Source organism: Homo sapiens, chromosome 9 (assembly GCF_000001405.40).
Source record: "Homo sapiens chromosome 9, GRCh38.p14 Primary Assembly".
Taxonomy (NCBI): Eukaryota; Metazoa; Chordata; class Mammalia; order Primates; family Hominidae; genus Homo; species Homo sapiens.
The window spans coordinates 109,839,449-109,859,078 of NC_000009.12; the positions used below are offsets into that span (position 1 = coordinate 109,839,449).

The 19,630-nt window shown below is 43.5% G+C and overlaps 1 protein-coding gene across 14 annotated transcripts in view; it reads left to right on the top strand.

The window, feature by feature from the left end:
* PALM2AKAP2 (PALM2 and AKAP2 fusion) overlaps positions 1–19,630 on the top strand; it is a 531,726-nt gene that overhangs the window by 198,662 nt on the left and 313,434 nt on the right. The window lies entirely within an intron of this gene.

Consider the following 19,630-nt stretch of genomic DNA (forward strand, 5'->3'; position numbering starts at 1 on the left):
GGAAGCATTCCCTTTGAAAACTGGCACAAGACAGGGATGCCCTCTCTCACCACTCCTATTCAACATAGTGTTGGAAGTTCTGGCCAGGGCAGTCAGGCAGGAGAAAGAAATAAAGGGTATTCAATTAGGAAAAGAGGAAGTCAAATTGTCCCTGTTTGCAGATGACATGATTGTACATTTAGAAAACCCCAAATCTCCTTAAGCTGATAAGCAACTTCAGCAAAGTCTCAGGATACAAAATCAGTGTGCAAAATTCACAAGCATTCTTATACACCAATAACAGAGAGCCAAATCATGAGTGAACTCCCATTCACAATTGCTTCAAAGAGAATAAAATACCTAAGAATCCAACTTACAAGGGATGTGAAGGACCTCTTCAAGGAGAGCTACAAACCACTGCTCAACGAAATAGAAGAGGACACAAACAAATGGAAGAATATTCCATGCTCATGGATAGGAAAAATCAATATCGTGAAAATGGTCATACTACCCAAAGTAATTTATAGATTCAATGCCATCCCCATCAAGCTACCAATGACTTTCTTCATAGAATTGGAAAAAACTATTTTAAAGTTCATATGGAACCAAAAAAGAGCCCGCATTGCCAAGTCAATCTTAAGCCAAAAGAACAAAGGTGGAGGCATCACGCTACCTGACTTCAAACTATACTACAAGGCTATAGTAACCAAAACAGCAATGGTACTGGTACCAAAACAGAGATATAGACCAATGGAACAGAACAGAGCCCTCAGAAATAATACCACACATATGCAACCATCTGATCTTTGACAAACCTGACAAAAACAAGAAATGGGGAAAGGATTCCCTATTTAATAAATGATGCTGGGAAAACTGGCTAGCCATATGTAGAAAGCTGAAACTGGATCCCTTCCTTACACCTTATACAAAAATTAATTCAAGATGGATTAAAGACGTAAATGGTAGACCTAAAACCATAAAAAACCCTAGAAGAAAACCTAGGCAGTACCATTCAGCACATAGGCATGGGCAAGGACTTCATGTCTAAAACACCAAAAGCAATGGCAACAGAAGCCAAAATTGACAAATGGGATCTAATTAAACTCAAGAGCTTCTGCACAGCAAAAGAAACTACCATCAGAGTGAACAGGCAACCTACAGAATGGGAGAACATTTTTGCAATCTGCTCATCTGACAAAGGGCTAATATCCAGAATCTACAAAGAACTCAAATAAATTTACAAGAAAAAAACAAACAACCCAATCAACACGTGGGCAAAGGATATGAACAGACACTTCTCAAAAGAAGACATTTATGCAGCCAAAAGACACATGAAAAAATGCTCATCATCACTGGCCATCAGAGAAATGCAGATCAAAACCACAATGAGATACCATCTCATACCAGTTAGAATGGCGATCATTAAAAAGTCAGGAGACAACAGGTGCTGGAGAGGATGTGGAGAAATAGGAACACTTTTACACTGTTGGTGGGATGTAAACTAGTTCAACCATTGTGGAAGACAGTGTGGCGATAGCTCAGGGATCTAGAACTAGAAATACCATTTGACCCAGCCATCCCATTACTGGGTATATACCCAAAGGATTATAAATTATGCTGCTACAAAGACACATGCACAGGTATGTTTGTTGTGACACTATTCACAATAGCAAAGACTTGGAACCAACCCAAAGTCCATCAATGATAGACTGGATTAAGAAAATGTGGCAGATATACACCATGGAATACTATGCTGCCATAAAAAAGGATGAGTTCATGTCCTTTTTAGGGACATGGATGAAGCTGGAAACCATCATTCTCAGCAAACTATCGCAGGGACAAAAAACCAAACACCGCATGTTCTCACTCATAGGTGGGAATTGAACAATGAGAACACTTGGACACAGGAAGGGGAACATCATACACTGGGGCCTGTTGTGGGGTGGGGGTAGGGGGGAGGGATAGCATTAGGAGATATACCTAATGTAAATGATGAGTTAATGGGTGCAGCACACCAACATGGCACATGTATACCTATGTAGCAAACCTGCACGTTGTGCACATGTACCCTAGAACTTAAAGTATAATAAAAAAAAAAAAGAAAAAGGGTGGAGAGATGGAGGGGAGGGTGGGGGGATGGAGAGGAGGGTGGAGGGAAAGAAGAGAGGGTAGGGGGAAAGAGGGTAGGGTGGGGGGGTGGAGGGAAAGAGGAGAGGGTTGGGGGAGAGAGGGGAGGGTGGGGGGATGGAAGGGAGGGTGGAGGGAAGAGGAGAGGATGGAGGGGTAGAGGGGAGGGTGAAGGGAAAGAGGGGAGGGTGGGGGATGGAGGAGAGGGTGGAGAGAAAGGAGAGGGTGGGGGGGTGGAAGGGAGGGTGGAGGGAAAGGGGAGGGTGGAAAGATAGAGGTTAGGGTGGAGGGAAAGAGGGGAGGGTGGGGGGATGGAGGGGAGGGTAGAGAGATAGAGGAGAAGTTGGAAGGATAGAGGGGAGGGTGGAAGGGTAGAGGGGAGGGTGGAAGGAAAGAGGGGAGGGTGAGGGGGATGGAGGGGAAGTTGGAGGGATAGAGGGGAGGTGGGAAAAAAAGAGGCCTGGAGCTGGTGTTAGGAGGCCAGGGTCTAAACCCCACTTGAAAACCTACCTGGTGGATGACATGCACAGACTCTCTGGGCCTCAGTTTCCCATTCACATATAAGATGGGGAGGCCTTTATCCACTTCCCTAAGAGGGTTGTTGTGACAATTCAGAGCAGTGTTAGAGTCCAAAGTCGGGTGAATGCCCCTGGGGAGTGTACAGGACCATCCTTTATAGTGTGAGTAGAAAGTCTTAGCATTTTTATTTTTTACTCAACAAGAAATTAGGCTTTACAAATATTTGATGTATGGATGGACCATGACATCCACAATCAGCTGCGTGTTCTGGGCATGTCCTCAAAGAAAGAAGGGACTTTGCAAACGGGAAGGGGTTGGGAGCTCTATCCTCATTCATTCCCTTGCAGCCTTTGTGATGTTTGATTGCAATTTGCCACTTCTGGTGAGGCGGGTACGCAGAATACATTATCCAGCTTAAACTCAACAAACCCTGTTTCAACAAACTGAAGAAGTGGCTTAAAAAGTTTTCATGAATTAAAAGCTAATTAAAATCTATAATGAACAATATCCACATAAACCAAAAAATGGCAGAGTTAACACTTCACTGGGAAGAAGTTTTTGTTGTCGTCGTTGTTGAATCAGCCCCAGTAAGATGTGAAAAAAAAAACAGACTAATGATATCTGACAAGAAGTCGGCCCAAGAAGTTCAAAATTATCAAGGTCAGGTGCAGTGGCTCATGCTTGTAATCCCAGCTCTTTGGGAGGCCAAGGTGGGAGGATCACTTGAGGCCAGGAATTTGCAACCAGCCTGGGCAATATAGTGAGATTCCATCTCTACTAAAAATCAAACAGTTCGGTGGCTCACGCCTGTAATCCCAGCACTTTGGGAGGCCAATGAGGGCGGATCACCTGAGGTCGGGAGTTCGAGACCAGACCGACCAACGTGGAGAAACCCCATCTCTACTAAAAATACAAAATTTGCCGGGCGTGGTGGCGCATGCTTGTAATCCCAGCTACTCAGGAGGCTGAGGCAGGAGACTCGCTTGAACCCGGGAGGTGGAGGTTGCGGTGAGCCGAGATCGCGCCATTGCACTCCAGCCTGGGCAACAGGAATGAAACTCGGTCTCAAAAAAAAAAAAAAAAAAAATCGAACAATTAGCTGGATGCTTGTAGTCTCAGCTACTCAGGAGGCTAAAGAGGATCACCTGAGCCCAGGACTTTGGTGCTGCAGTGAGCTATGATGGCACTACCGCACTCTAACCTGGGCCACAGAGTGAGCCCCTGTCTCAAAAAAAAAAAAAAAAAAAAAAAGAAGAAGACTTTTTGAATTAAAGAAAGATTTACATCTCCTCTCATTAATAGCACTATTGATTTTTATTTGATTTAACACATTATTTCATTGTTATTACAAATTATGTGTTTTAAATGCCTATTTTGATGTATAATTCTATAATGTACACTTAGTTCAGTAGTACATGTGTATTACTTGTATTTATCATGTGTGAATATATATATATACACACATGGTATGTGCTCAAAATATTTTACAGATTAGAGTATGTGAAAAAAATTTGAAGACCACTCTGCATAATAAATGTGCAGGGGCTGGCCCATGAGACATGTTCAGTAAATGCTTGTTTCCATCCTCTTTCTCCCTGGAAATAAAGTCGATAGTGTGTGTGTGGACCTTGCTTATTAAAGGAAAGTGGCTGATTTGATTTCTGGAACAAGGTGCATCTCAAACTAGCTGGCAGCACTACCTCGGCCTGGCCCCATCCCAGCTGTTCACACCGAGTTCCAGACATTTGTAGGAGCCCGGACGAGGCCAGCTGGCTGCCTATCAGTGGCCTTCTTCTGTCAGCACTACACAGTTGTCACGGCTCACATCCAACCGCCAGACAGCCAAGAAGGAGACGCCAAGATTTAAATCTGCAGTTCCTGACCTCCGCAACCACACCCGATTCTTTGGTTGGTCCTAGACAAAAACAACGGTTTTGCAGATTTGGGTTCTCTTTCTCAAACTGCCTTTTGATGATTTATTTGTGAGATATGATTGCTCCTCTTGCAAATCAGAGCTGGTTGCAGTAGCTAACTAACATTTATTGAGCGAGTAGTATACCCAGGCTTCAGCTAAGTGCTTTCTGGAATTATTTAATTTTCACAGCAACCATGTAGAGTAAGTTCTGCCACTGGCACCACTTTACAGATAAGCGAATGGAGACTTAGAAAGGTTAAGTAATTTTACTAGAGGAACATAAACTAACAGTGAAAGTGAGAAATCTCAGAGTCTCATTGGTCTGACAGCTATGTAAGGAACTGAGGGGATGTACCATTGCAAATCGTCAAAATGGAAATACCCCAAATGCAATGCAGGACTCTGGATGCGATTCTGGAACAAAGAAAGAACACTTGTGGGGGAAAAAAAATAGTGCAACCCAGAGTCTTTATTTAACAGTATTGTATCAATGTTAATTTCTTAGTTTTGACAAATGCATCCTGGTTATGTAAGATGTTAGGATTATGGGAAGCTGGGTAATGAATAGATGGAGAGTTTCTGCACTATGTCTGTACTGTTTTTGTAAATGTACAATGATTCCAAAATAAAAGGTGTATTTAAGAAACAGAAATGCCAAGTGTATATGTGTGAGTACACACGTGCTCTCACATGTGCATGTGTACAGTTGTGCATATGTAAGTCTTTGTGCATATGTAAGTGCCCCTTGCTGCACACCCCCTGCTGTTCTGTGTGTGCTGCTCCACTCAAGCCCCTGGGACTTACATGGATGTCAGCGAGAAGGAAGCCTACACAACTCACATGTGACATGCCCGCCATGCTCTCGTCATACCTCACCTGTGCTGTAGAACCCCTGGGTCACAGGTGGCAGTCTTGTTCCCCCATAACAAATGCCAGAAAATGATGTGTGTGTGTGTGTGTGTGTGTGTGTGCATGTGCACACACGCATGCACGCACACACGCTCTGGTAGGGGGGTTTCAGGAAGTCATTCGTGAAGATGCAGTGTAGCATCCAGAATAAAATAACCAATTTACACCTTAAACACTCTTCTCCAGTAAGGCCACTACAGCTGCCTCTGCTTACTAAGTGCATTTGAAGAGTCCTCTGCTTTATCCGTACTCTATCCTCCTGAAAAGAGGCACTGACCTGAAAGGGAAGCCCAGGAGCTTCTAGGCCCAGACTTTTGCTTTGTTTCTCACCATGTGCTGTGTCAAAACTGAGAGAATATTTTGATCACCTTTTAGCTAAGAGCTATCTCCTGGGCAGCAGCTTAAGGCTAGAGTAAGGACATTTCACAGTTTAAGAGAGAGCAGTCACTCCGCCAAATGGCTCTGAGGTGGCCACAAAGTGCTTGACTTGCAAAAAATTGCTCCATTAACTAGATTCAGGGATTTTCAGGATTTATGGGCTAGGCTGTGCTAATATTACTGTGGTGCTTCTCAGTATAATTGCTAGAGGCCTCCAGTGAGCAGAGGAATTGTGTGTTCAGTCTGTCCTGGGTGACCCTTACTGCGTAGTCCTAGGGAGACAAAGAAAACCCACTCAATCCAGGAGGCTACAGAAATGATGTTTGTGGAGATCTCAGTGGGTATCTAATCTGTAACCTCAGGGGGAGAACTCTAGCTGGTCTCAGTCTTTGCTGGAAACAGAACTTACTGGATGTGTGTGTTTACTCACTCATTCATTTATTTGTTTATTTATTTACTGTGACAGGGTCTTGCTATGTTATCCAGGCTATTCTTGAACTCCTGAGCTCAAGTGATCCTCCCACCTCATCTTCCAAAGTAGCTGAGATTACAGGTGCATGCTACCACACCCAGCCATCATTCATTTACTTATTGAGTGTCTACCATGCACCAGATGCCCAGGTTAAGCATAAAGGATATAGAGCAGGACAATCAAAAAGTCTCAGATTCAGAAGGAGGAGATGGATAAAAACCAGCAAGATCTAAAGTAGATAATTTGATTATGATAAGCACAAATAAGCAGAGAATACATTGATGTGATACAGAGGGCCATGTGGGGGGCAGTGTGATTCCTTTAGATTGGGTGAATCAGGGTGATGGCTTTTCAGTTGACATTGGAAGAATGAGGAGGAAGGAGGAAGAAGTGGCAGCCGGGTAGGACAGCAGGTCTTCTCTGTCCCCCGAGTTCTTCTGATGTCCTGCACAGAAACCTGAGGGGTAGAGTAGCAAAGGAGAAATCCAAGCTCAGGCTGGGAAAGAAGCTCATGGCACCAAGGTTAGGGCTTGTGATAACAGGGACCTGCTTCAAGAGAAAGGGAGGTGGGTGGCAGATTGGTCTCATGGCTGCCACCCACATAATTCTAAAGGTCTCCCAATGGGAGAACAGCCACCCTGGTAAGTGTCCAGCATCATACAAGGAGTCTCTGCCCATTGTGACTCTTGCTTGAGCCCCCACACTTAGCCCTCACCAAGCTGTGTGATTTAGGATTCAGGTGTTAGAACGGAGAAGGCACCAGGCCTACTGCACCATATCAATGAAGCCTTTGCTTTGGGGAAAACAGAGCTGGGTACAAATACCAGTGCCACCCATTCTTCCCTCCATGCTCTGGACATTCAACCCATCTGAGCCTTAATCCCTTCATCTGCAAAGTAAGGACCATGCAGTCTTCCTGGTAGTGTTGTAAGGCTCAGATAGAATAACCAGACAGTTCCAGGTGCATATGGCACTCAGTGAGAATCCACTTGCTTTATCCTCCCTCACTCCCTTCCTTCCTCCAGGAATAAAGAGTACACTAGTTGAAGAATATTTCTTTGCCTTCCTTCTTTAGCAGCTCCAATCCCAGCCTAACAGCACAATGAGCATCAGATGTGCTTTTTTGATGTTTGAAATTTATAGTCTCTGTTGAATGTTGGCCAGGACAGCACTTCGTCATTTGAACAATTTCCATTTTCCACAAGCTCTCTGTGATTGATGACCTAACCAGGCACATGGCATTCCGTTCCACCAGCAATGTGGCCAGTGGGGAGATGGCTATGTCAGTAACACCTGTTTGTGGTAGACCAACAATGGCGCCCTAAAAGATATATCCGCATCAAATCCCTGGGACCTATGTGTGTGACCTTATTTGGAAGAGGGGTTTTTTTTTGCAGATGCAATTAGGAATCTTGAGATGCAGAGAACATCCTGTGCTATCCAGGTGGGCCTTAAATGCAATGACAACTGTCTTCATAAGAGACGTATAGGGAGATCTGACAGATAGAAGGGGAGAAGGCAATGCGATCACCACTAGGTAGAGGTTAGAGGGATGCACCCCTAAGTCAGGGAATGCCAGCAGCTGCCAGAAGCTTAAAGAGGCAAAGGATGAATTGTCCCCTAGAGCCTCCAAAGGGAGTGTGGCACTGCTTATGCCTTGGCTTTGGACTTCTGGCCTCCAGAACTGTGAGAGAATAAATATCTGTTGTTTTCGATGGGCGTGATGGCTCACGCCTGTAATCCCAGCACCTTGGGAGGCCAAGGTGGGCAGATCACAATGTCAGGAGATCGAGACCATCCTGGCGAACACAGTGAAACCCCGTCTCTACTAAAAATACAAAAAAGTAGCTGGCCGTGGTGGCGGGCGCCTGTAGTCCCAGCCACTCGGGAGGCTGAGGCAGGAGAATGGCGTGAACCCAGGAGGCAGAGCTTGCAGTGAGCCGAGATCGCACCACTGCCCTCCAGCCTGGGCAAGAGTGCAAGACTCCATCTCAAAAAAAAAAAAAAATCTATTGTTTTAAGCCAACCAGTTCGTGGTTATTTGTGTAGCAGCCCTAGAAATGAAGACAGCCTGCGAGCACCTTGCCCCACCTGGCTGTAGGTGACTTTTGGTGCCACCATTTTTGACTCTTGTGGATAAAGAGCAGACTATATTCTTTTTATAAGTAAGTCCACCTTTTACAGAAAAATTAATAGCCAGGATCATGGTTTTAGAACTCATAGAATACACTCCTCTCATCCTCTCATTCTTTCCCCCACCCATTGGCTTATAAACTTGTTCCTATGAAATAAGTCAGCTGAGTTGAGTTTGTAAATGCATCTTGAATAAATGTGTTGGGTGGGGTCACAAACATGCAGACACCTGCTGGTGAGTGTTACTGACCTGCACTCTGAAAGGCCCCTATATTGATGATACTTCTTAATCTCCTATGGCTCTTCTTCAGCCCTGGGAGCAGGGGAGTGCAGACTTTTGTTCAACCCCTTTCACAGATGTGCACACTGAAGTCCCAGTGTGTCCAGTGACTTGCTCAAGGTCATCAGCACTGTCTGGTGGAGCTGGGACTCGAACCCAGTCCTCCTGCTCTCAGCTGTGGGAAATGGAGACAGCAGTTGCCCTGGAAGATGTTTCCTGTGCTGCGTGTTTGTGGTTGTCTCAGGATTTGTGAGACTTACTGTTTTCTTGTGTCCCCTGTCCCTGTGACTTATCTTTGTGCCCACTCAGCCATCACCACTTCCAACACACACCCACACCTGTGGAGAGAATGCAGCCTCCTAGAGCTCATGTCATGGCAGGACTGAGGGAAGTAGTCAGTTCTTGGTGCTCTCTAATAGGGCTCTGAATTGCAGCCTGGGCCGTGCCCATTCATTTATGTATTGTCTATAGCTGCTTCTGTGTTACAAGAATTGACAGAGACTGGGTGTGGTCGCTCACACCTGTAATCCCAGCACTTTGGGAGGCTAAGACAGAAGGATCGCTTGAGCCCAGGAGTTTGAGATGAACCTGGGCAACATGATGATACCCCATCTCTACAAAAAAAAAAAAAAAATTAGTTGGGTGTTGTGATGGAGGCTGAGATGGGATGACTGCCTGAGCCCATGGGGTCGAGGCTGCAATGAGCTATGATTGTGCCACTGTCTCAAAAAAAAAAAAAAATGTTGACAGAACAAGTTGATTCAATTATAGACTTGAGTAGTTGTAACGGAGACTATAAAGCCTAAAATATTTATAGTGTTAACTTTGATAGGACAAGTTTGCCAGCTCCTGCACTAGAGGATAAAGATTAACAGGATTGACTCCACATAGAGGAGAGGAGAGGAAGGGGCAAGGATGGAAGCAAGGAGGGAGAAGGGTTAGAGAGAAAGAAAGAGGGAGGGGGGTCACTCAGAGACTTCACAAAGTATGTTATTTCCTAAAAACTGTAATGCCCAGTATCTAGTGATTACCTGTGGCACTGTCAGCCTTCTGCCTGGGAACAGGAATCTTGCAAAGATCAAATGCAGGGCCCAGAGCCCCAGGACTCTGCATTGGCATTCGTCAGTAAGTTTTGAAGGAGGCAGACATCTCAAAACCATCCTAAGCATAAGGCACCCAGCTGGTGATTTGAAGATAGCCATCTTCCCCATTACTAGTTGGCCTCACTTTAAAAAATGTTGTTTCTTGGATAGCATTTTTCTTTCACAAGTTGGTTTGCTTTCACATGTCAAAAAACAAAACCAGGGCTGGGCGCGGTAGCTCACACCTGTAATCCCAGCACTTTGGGAGGCGAAGGTGGGTGGATCATCTGGGGTCAGGGGTTTGACACCAGCCTGGCCAACATGGTGAAACTCCGTCTCTACTAAAAAAAAGAAAATACAAAAATTAGCCAGGCATGGTGGCGTGCACCTGTAATCCCAGCTACTCAGGAGGCTGAGGCAGGAGAATCACTTGAACCCGGGAGGCGAAGGTTGCAGTGAACCAAGATTGTGCCATTGCACTCCAGCCTGGGCAACAAGTGTGAAACTCTGTCTCAAAAAACAAAAAACAAAAAGCAAAAACAAATAAACGGAAAGAGAGAGAGAGGAGAGAGAGAGAGAAACACATACCATTTGCCATATTTGTGGTTTCTCATTCTTGCGCTATTTTTTTAAACCTTTCATTACATTAGGCCTTTATCAGATATTAGCACTGGTTCTTCAGTTTTCCCCCTGATCAGGAACTTCCCTGAAATAAATGCTGGTAAGATCGTGGAAAGTTCCCAGGAGAAGGATAGAACAGGTGTACCCCAGGGAGGCTGAGCCAGTACAGAGAGACCTATGGGTTTCACGGGCCCTCAGTAGAACTGATTTCCTCTCCTTGTCTCAGGTTGTCATCAGCCACTGAGCAAGACCGAATAAGGGATCTCGTGAGGCTTTGGAGATGGATGCAGGATCTGTTGCCTGCGATTCAAAGCTGGTGGAGGACTTGCTTAGGTCATGTTAATTAGTTTTTCTCAGCTCTCACCAGGTGTCATTCATGGAGGTTGCATAAAAGAAACTCATACCCAGGGATGAGCTTTTTCTTAAATATTACCTTTCTGAATTTTGAAATTTAGTGTAGCATTGAGACATTTAAACACATTTTTGAAGCACAAAACTTATTTATCCTAGTTCAAAGCCAGATTTGGTTTGACCTGTCTTGGTGGTGTTTTCTGTGGTTCTGAGATCCAACCCCCAACTTCGTCCCTTTTGACCTAGTTTATCACCCATGTCCTTGGGTTGAAAATAGTAGTGTAATCCTAAGAGAAGGGGCCTGAAAGGAAGGGAAGAGAAATCAGATGTCAGCTGGTGAGGATGAGAAATACTGCAACAAGGGAGCAGCATTGACCCTTGAGAGCTACATGCTAGGTAGAGTCAAGCTCTACTTGCCCTAAGTCAAAAATATCATTGACTTGTGGCTAAAGCCCAGACTTTGAAGAGCAAAGAAAGCAAGGATTTAACTGCAAAAATAGAAAAGTGGCTGACCCAATGCTGAGGCTTTTAACAAAATTTACCAAATAGTTTATTTCAGACTGAGAAAGAAAGAGCTCAAACAAGCTTAAGCAGCAGCAAATGCTATCAGCCTGGACCATGAGATTGCATGTGCCCTGCAGTGATCTTCCACCTTGACTGACATTAAAACTACCTGGTAGTGGCCGGGCGTGGTGGCTCACACCTGTAATCCCAGCACTTTAGGAGGCCGAGGCGGGCGGATCACGAGGTCAGGAGATCAAGACCATCCTGGCTAACACGGTGAAACCCCATCTCTACTGAAAATACAAAAAATTAGCCAGGCATGGTGGCGGGCACCTGTAGTCCCAGCTGCTTGGGAGGATGAGGCAGGAGAATGGCATGAACCCGGGAGGCAGAGCTTGCAGTGAGCCGAGATAGCGCCACTGCACTCCAGCCTGGGCAACAGAGGGAGACTCCGTCTCAACAACAACAACAACAACAACAACAACAACAACAAAAAAAAAAAAACACTACCTGGTAGTGTTTACAGCCTTGAGTGCCCAGACCAATAAGATCAAAATCTCTGAAGGTGAGGCCTGGGCTTGGTGCTTTTTGATGATCCTCAGGTGATCTTAATGGTCTTCCAGGGTTGAGCACTGTGGGGAAAATTGAGGCCAAGATGTGGAGGCATCTAACTGGCTCGTGCATGTTAAGAACTGGATGAGATGGGAAGCCAGACATTAGAAATAATGGGGTCAGGGCACCACTTACATGGTATTAATAGCCAGAGGTCTTGAATCTTCCTCCAGACTACAGTGAAGAGAGATACACATGTTATCTACCTGGTGATAGATACCAAAGGGAAGCAAAGTACCACACTGAAGCAAAGTACCATGGAAGGACTGCTCCCCACTTTTGATGCATGATAAAGACCAACCTGCCTGCATGAAGATGATGGTGCACTTCTCCTGAACTTCACCATCATGATCACAGTCAAAGCCAGTGATGATGGAGTATAATCACACCAGTAAATGAAGTTCCCCTGCTGTCTTCTGACTCACTTCTAAGTGGCCTGGACCCTGGTGGTTAAGAAAAGTAAACCCCCAAAGCAGTCAGTCATTGTCGGTTTGCTAACTTGAGCATCCTGAAATTAAAGGACTAAGTACTTTAACTGGGTCACCTCTATTAGTGGGTAAAAAGCTGTGTGGTCTTTGTTCACTTCCTTAAAATGCTGCTATACGTGATGGCAAGCAACAGAACTAGCCACGAGAAAGCAACATGGAAACCACTGAAGTCAAGACTTAATCCTACCTGGTTCCCCATCAATAGGTAAAACAAAGTGGTTCTGAGCACAAACTCTGAAGCCAGATGATCAGCTTTTAAAAAAAAAATAATTAAAGAATATTTATTTATTTATATTTTATTTTAGATTCAGGTGGTACATGTGCAGATTTGTTACATGAGTATATTGTGTGATGCTGAGGTTTAGGCATCTAATAATCCTGTCACCCAAGCCATGAACATAGTACCTGATAGGTAGTTTTTCAACCCTTGATCCCATCCCTTCCTCCCTCCTTTTGGAATGCCCAGTGTCTGTTGTTCCCACCTTTGTGTCTGTGTGTACCCAATGTTTAGCTCCCACTTACAAGTCCATGTTGCTGCAAAGAACATGATTTCATTCTTTTTTATGGCTGTGTAGTATTCCATGGTGTATATGTACCACATTTTCTTTATCCAATACACTGTTGATGGGCACCCGGTTGATTTCATGTCTTTGTTCCTGTGAATAGTGCTGTGATGAACATACGAGTACATGCCCTTTTGATAGTATGACTTATCCTTTGGGTATATATCAGTAATAGGATTGCAGAGTCCAGTGGCAATTCTGTTTTCAGTTCTTTGAGAAATCTCCAAACTACTTTCCACAGGGCCTGAACTAATTTGCACTCCCAAAAACAGAGTATAAATGTTCCCTTTTCTCTGCAACCTCACCGACATCTGTTGTTTTTTGACGTTTTAATAGTAGCCATTCTGACTGGAGTGAGTTGGTATCTCATTGTGGTTTTGGTTTGCATCTCTCTGATGAATAGTGGTGTAGAGCATTTTTTCATATGTTTGTTGGCTGCTTGTATGTCTTTTGAAAAGTGTCTGTTCATGTCCCTTGCTCACTTTTTAATGGGGTTGTTTTTTACTTGTCAATTTGTTTCAGTTCCTATAGGTTCTGGATATTAGTCTTTTGTCAGATGCATGGTTTGCAGATATTTTCTCCCATTCTGTAGGTTGTCTGTTTACTCTGTTGGTAGTTTCCTTTTGCTGTGCAAAAGCCCTTTGGTTTAATTAGGTCCCAGTTGCCAGACGGACAGCTTTGAATTCTGGTCTTAACACTTCATAACTGGGGGATCTAGGGGCAAGTTACCTAACCTCTCTCAGCCTCAGTGTCCTCATCTGTAATGGAGGGATAATAGAAGCTTCCCCCCAGGGTTATAGTGAGGGTTGATGAGGTAGTTCATTTAAAGCACTCAGAACTGCGCGTGGCACCTGTAAACACTCCCACCCCCAGTACCTTTTCACAAGTACTATTAGGATGATGCTGTTAGCAGCAATTATCAGCACCTCTCATCTCAAGTTATATTGCTAGTGACAAAACCTTTGGCATTTCAGTGTATAGCTTTCCAATCTTTTCCATAACTGTATTTTTTCTTATAAAAGTGAGATTATACTGAGCATACTCTTTGCTTTTTAAACTGACTATATTGAGAATATCTTTCTATTTCATGTAATCTACAGCTTCATTTGCAATGACTGCATAATGGTGCAGATATATCATAGATTATTTAACCAAACACCTGTGGTTTAATACTTAAGTCTCTCTCTTTTTTAAAAGCAATGCTGCAGTAAATATCATTAAGTAAAAGCACTGCTCATTGGCATAATTTCCCCTTTAGAATAAATTCCTAGAAGTGAAATGTGTTGTTCAAATCGCATATAAACTTGAAAGTGTTTGCTATTCTATATGACTGCCAAATTATCCTCTAGAAAGATTCTACCACCACCAGCAGGGAATAAAAAGTCAGTTTCCCCTCACTATACTTGACACTGGGTATTACAGTTTTTAAACTGTAATCTTTTGTATTTGTTCTTGACCTAAAGCTGAGCTCTGCTGTTTGGGGCTTGGCTTCTCTGAACTTGGTGCTGATTCTTGCTTTAACTGGAGCTTCCTACTGGAGCATCCTAGGTGGGCTCTCACTGGCTCAAACAACCCTATGAGGCTCTTCTTAGTCTTCTAGGACTAGAGCAGGGCTCAGCCAAGCACATGGTGCTGGCAGGACACTTGGAGCTGTCCCTATACCAGCAGCAATCTTTTGTCTTGCTTATTTAATTACCTTATCCTAAAGTACGTCTTTACTAGAAATTTGCTGTCCTCAGTGAGAAGCAGTACCTTTCCCTTGTTCCCTGCTGAACCACCAGGGTCACTACCAGCAGATCAGAGCCACTTCCCTGTCCCTGGGGGCATCGTCTTAGACTTTGGTCACCACCAAAGAGGAGACATAAGAAGAAGGGCAGGAAGAGGTAGCATTGAGCAAGAGCTCTGGATTTGCCATCATCAGCTGAGGATTCTGAATTAGGAAACATATCTATTTAGGTTTAAACTACAAAATATGCAAGGGTTCCTATTCCGAGCCTCTCAGAAACATCCCTCTGGCCACAGGCAACTGTCACTGGTGATGGTTATTCTCTCAGAAGATGCTGAGGATCAGGGTGTCTAAGGAGTAGCTTTGCTTTAATCTGAGCTTGGTATATTACATTTTCCATGTTAGCCTACCTAATAGGGTGGGTTCACATAGAAATACTAGAAAACACAGAAGGATATAAAGAGCAAAGATGAAAGCATTCCAAATCCTACCATCTAGATACAACCTATGTTGATATTTAGCATGTATGCAGAGGATAGATGCTATCCTGTAGCATGATCATTTATATGCATGTGCGTACACATGCATTTACTTTTTATAAAAATGATATAATACTGAACATGCTATTCTGTAGTCAGTTTTTAAAAGAATGTATCTTTTTTTTTTTTTTTTTTTTTTTTTTTAGATGGAGTCTTGCTCTATCATCAGGCTGGAGTGCAGTGGCACAATCTCGGCTCACTGCAACTTCTGCCTCCCAGGTTCAAGTGATTCCCCTACCTCAGCCTCCTGAGTAGCTGGGACTACAGGTGTGTGCCACCACGCCTGGCTAATTTTTTGCATTTTAGTAGGGACAGGGTTTCACAGGTTGGTAAGGATGGTCTTCATCTCCAGACCTTGTGATCTGCCCGCCTCGGCCCCCCAAAGTACTGGGATTACAGGCGTGAGCCACCATGCCTGGTGCCCCCCCCTTTTTTTGGGGTGGGGGAAACAGGGTCTCACTGTGTCCCCAGGCTGGAGTGCAGTGGCACAATCTCAGCTCACTGCAACCTCCGCTTCCCAGGCTTAAGCAATCCTTCCATTTCAGCCTCCTGAGTAGTTGGGATTACAGGCATGTGCTACCATGACTGGCTAATTTTTGCATTTTTTGTAGAGATGGGGTTTCACCATGTTGCCCAGGCTGGTCTCGAACTCCTGAGCTCAAGCAATCTGCCCGTCTTGGCCTCCCAAAGTACTGGGATTACAGGCATGAGCCACTGCTCCCAGCCTTAAAAGAATTTATCTTTAATGGCTGTGTTTTATTTATACATTTTCAGTCATTCATTATCAATAAATACTGATTCAGGCCCAGTATGTGTTAGGCATGATTCTAGGCAAGAGAGAGAAACCATGAATGAGAGACATGGTCTCTGCCCTTGGGGAGGGTGTAATGAAGTTCGTCAGTTTTGTGCTTTGTGGTTTCTTTCTATGCGTTATGTTTTTAAAGTCCTCTTCCATCCTAAAGTCAGACAATCACTATATTTTCTCATGTTTTCACTTTTTACATTGCCTGAGTCCATCTAGAAATTGTTTTGGTGGATGAAAAATTTTCTACTTTTAAACCATTGGAGGACAGCAATGACCACAAAAGGATTAAATCCTCTTTCCTTATAGACAAGTGGGCACAACTTGGCTATGCAGTAATTCTAACATCAGCAGTGCAAAGAAGGGAAGTACAGTGTTGATTCTTCATGGGAGACTGATGGAATTATAATAGACTTCTGTTCTTAAGGTAGAAAATTATCATTTTTTTAACCTGAAAAGATAGAGTAATAGTCTATGATAAGGACAAATTACCCCAATATGTTTTTAAAACATTGCAATTATTAACAAAGTGGTAGTTTCTTTCATTTAAAACCCCCTTGGGCCCTAAAGATATAGCTAACAAGAGGAAAAACTGTCAAAACTCTTATTAGGTGGTTGAGTTTATTTTCTGCTCACAATTGTATCATTTAAAACCCTGAGAAACTGTTTTTTGGAGAGCAATTTGTCCCTATTAGAGTTTTATGTGTTCAAATCCTTGACTTAGCAGTTCTGCTGGTAGAAATCCACCCTATGTATGGAATCACAAAAGTACGTCTAAGATGAACATAGAGGAAGATTCATTGCAGTCCCGTCTATAATTGCAAACAAAGCACTGAGAACCACCTAAATTATCTATTAGCAGCAGACTGCTAAAGTAAGTTAAGCTACATCTGTGAATCGCCATGCCGTAGTTGCAAAGAATGTGGTGGGATTCCATGTGCTGAATGAAATAGTAAAATCTCTAAGATACATCACGAAGTGAAGAAAGTAAGCTGAAGGGCAGGTCTTTTGTGTTAAGAATAAAAGACCCCAACTTATGTTGGTGTATCCATTTTTTCCTGTAGGATGCATAAAGGACTAATAGGAATTGTTGCCTGAAGGAACAAAGCTGGTAGGGATGAGGTGAAGAGAAAGTCAAATGTTCATTTTATTCCTGTGTGGATGGTGTGAATTTTTCTACCCTGCATGTTTATTACTTTTATTTATGTTTTGTAATGCTTACTCCATTTATCTAGGCAGGGAGATTATAGACAATTGGTGTTTCCTTCTTTATACTTTTCTATATTAAAAAATGAATATAGATCAGAAATGTTCACCAGATACTGGCATCTAAGAAACAAACAAAAACATGATTTGTCAAAGTCAGAAAAGGAGTGTATGTCTCTGTTTGGAATTATGCTAATTTCTTGGAGTTTGCGTTCCTTTGTTGTCATCAGAATGCTGCACATTGTGTTCTCTTTCTATTTTTGTGCACACTATCTTGTTTTGTATTTCCAACCACGACAGCTATGTTCAGTTGTGCCCCATCCCCTCCCCTGTTCTGTGGCCTGCGGTGCTGAGAACTGCGAGCAGCCAATGGGACTGCTGCTTACTGTGAGGTCCATGCAGTGTCCACCCCCGCTTCCTGCCCTGAGACTGCCTCCAGGCCTGGCACGTCTTCCTAAGACAGGCCTATCAACCCAGTGGATCCTTCTGCCCCTTCCTCCTCCTGTCCTCCAACTTTAGGGAGCCATATTCTGATATCCAGAGATCCTGGATTTAGAGCATCTCCTCCATTCTTGGTAAATTGAGAACCTTCCCAACTGCTGCCTCATCTGCAGTAGTTCCTTTCAGATGAAAAGTTAAAATGGGAGAGAAATATTTTGCATTTGCTCTTTTCATTAGACTATTCGATTTCTATGTAAATGTCTTCTACAGGGATTGAAAGAAATGAATATATTGGTTCACCAGACATTGCTGAAGGTTCCAACACAGCCTTGACCTATTTTTGTTTGAAATTGAGAAATGCTCACAAATGTAAGAGGCCTCCTTTTTTGGAGATTGGAGGGATTTGACATCAAGATGTTTTGCATTTTCAACAGCTCATTTGCCCTGGATGGCTTTTGGCAGATAAATGTGGAGGTGGCAGTGTAATAGGTTTCATGTGTCCAGAGTGGAATTCACCCAGAGCCAAACAAAAGCTAGTAGCTCTGAACATGTCTCTTTTCATGGTAAAGTACTCTGGAGTGAGACTGTTTAAGTTTCAACCCCTGTTTGGCCACTTCTTAGCTCAAGGGCACTTCCCTTACAGTAGCTAAGTTTAGGTTGTTTCATCCATAAAATGGAAGATTTTAAAGTATCTACCTCAAAGTGTGATGAGGATTAAGTGAAAAACTGCGGGGCAATTCTTACTATAATGCCTGACATAGCAAGGCATCAATAAACTCAGTTGCCATTATTATTCTTACCATTATGGTTTATACCACTACCATCATTGGGATTATTAGGTTCAACCACTACACAACTGAATTGTTGTTGCATGAGTAAATTGCAGTTGTTTAGACAAAATCCTAAGCCAAAAACTTCGTGCTAGGTAGAAAGGAAGCACCTTCATTTATTAAGTCCCTGCACTCTACCAGGTGATGTGTTAGTTCCATCTTTGCTGTATCTCATTTCAATCCTGCAGTAGCATTTTGCAGGTAGTTCTATTTCAGTATTTCAGACGGAGTTCCAATTGTTTGATGCTTACTAGCCATGTGACCCTGTCTCTTTATCTTCCTGTGCCTCAGTTTTCTCCTCTGTAAAATGGGGATAATGATAGTACCTAACTCATTAGGTTGTTGTGAAGATTAAACATGTTAAATCACACAAAACAGTGCCTGGCACACAGTGACCACTATGTAAATGTTTGCTAGCATTACTTTATAACTCAGGAAGGGCACATGTGACAGTCTGGAACGTGTGAAGTCGTTGTTCTCCTTAGCACTGTGGAATGTTAGTGATGCTGGAGGAAACTTAGAGCTAAGCTGGCCCAACCTACTCATTTCACAGGCTGGGGATCCAAGGCCCAGAAACAATAAGGGACTTGTCTAAGTCACTCAGGGAGTTCGTGGCAGAGCCCCTACCTGATACGAGATCTCCTGACTCTGCTCACGAGACTTCATGGTGGGAATAAGGCAACACACGGAGAGGGATGAGATGGAGATCACATTCTTCGGGAGAGTTTGATTCTGTTATTCCTGCCATTTGGGACTTTTTCAGAGTCCTCTACCATTCTGCCTACCTGTACAGAAAGTGCTGGATTTTTCCACCACAAGGGGCTTATCAATGTGGTGTCATAAAGCGGGTCTTACTTTCTCATCAGAGCCCATATCAGACCACTTCCCTTCTTGGTCTTTAGAGGAAACCAAAGTGAAGCACTCCTAGCAAAGAATTTGATGTTATGACCATCAAAGCAAAAGTATAGCTCTATGGTTAAATAATTACTTAAAGGGTCACACCGTGGGCAGACCTTAAAAAACAGACTTAAGATATAACCCATATGGGCTATAAAGTATCTATAAAGGACCCTAAATGGAAACTCTGCTGTGTTGTGCATTTGACTTGGCACTAATAGGCCAGATATATTAACTGTTGGGTGAAATTAATGAT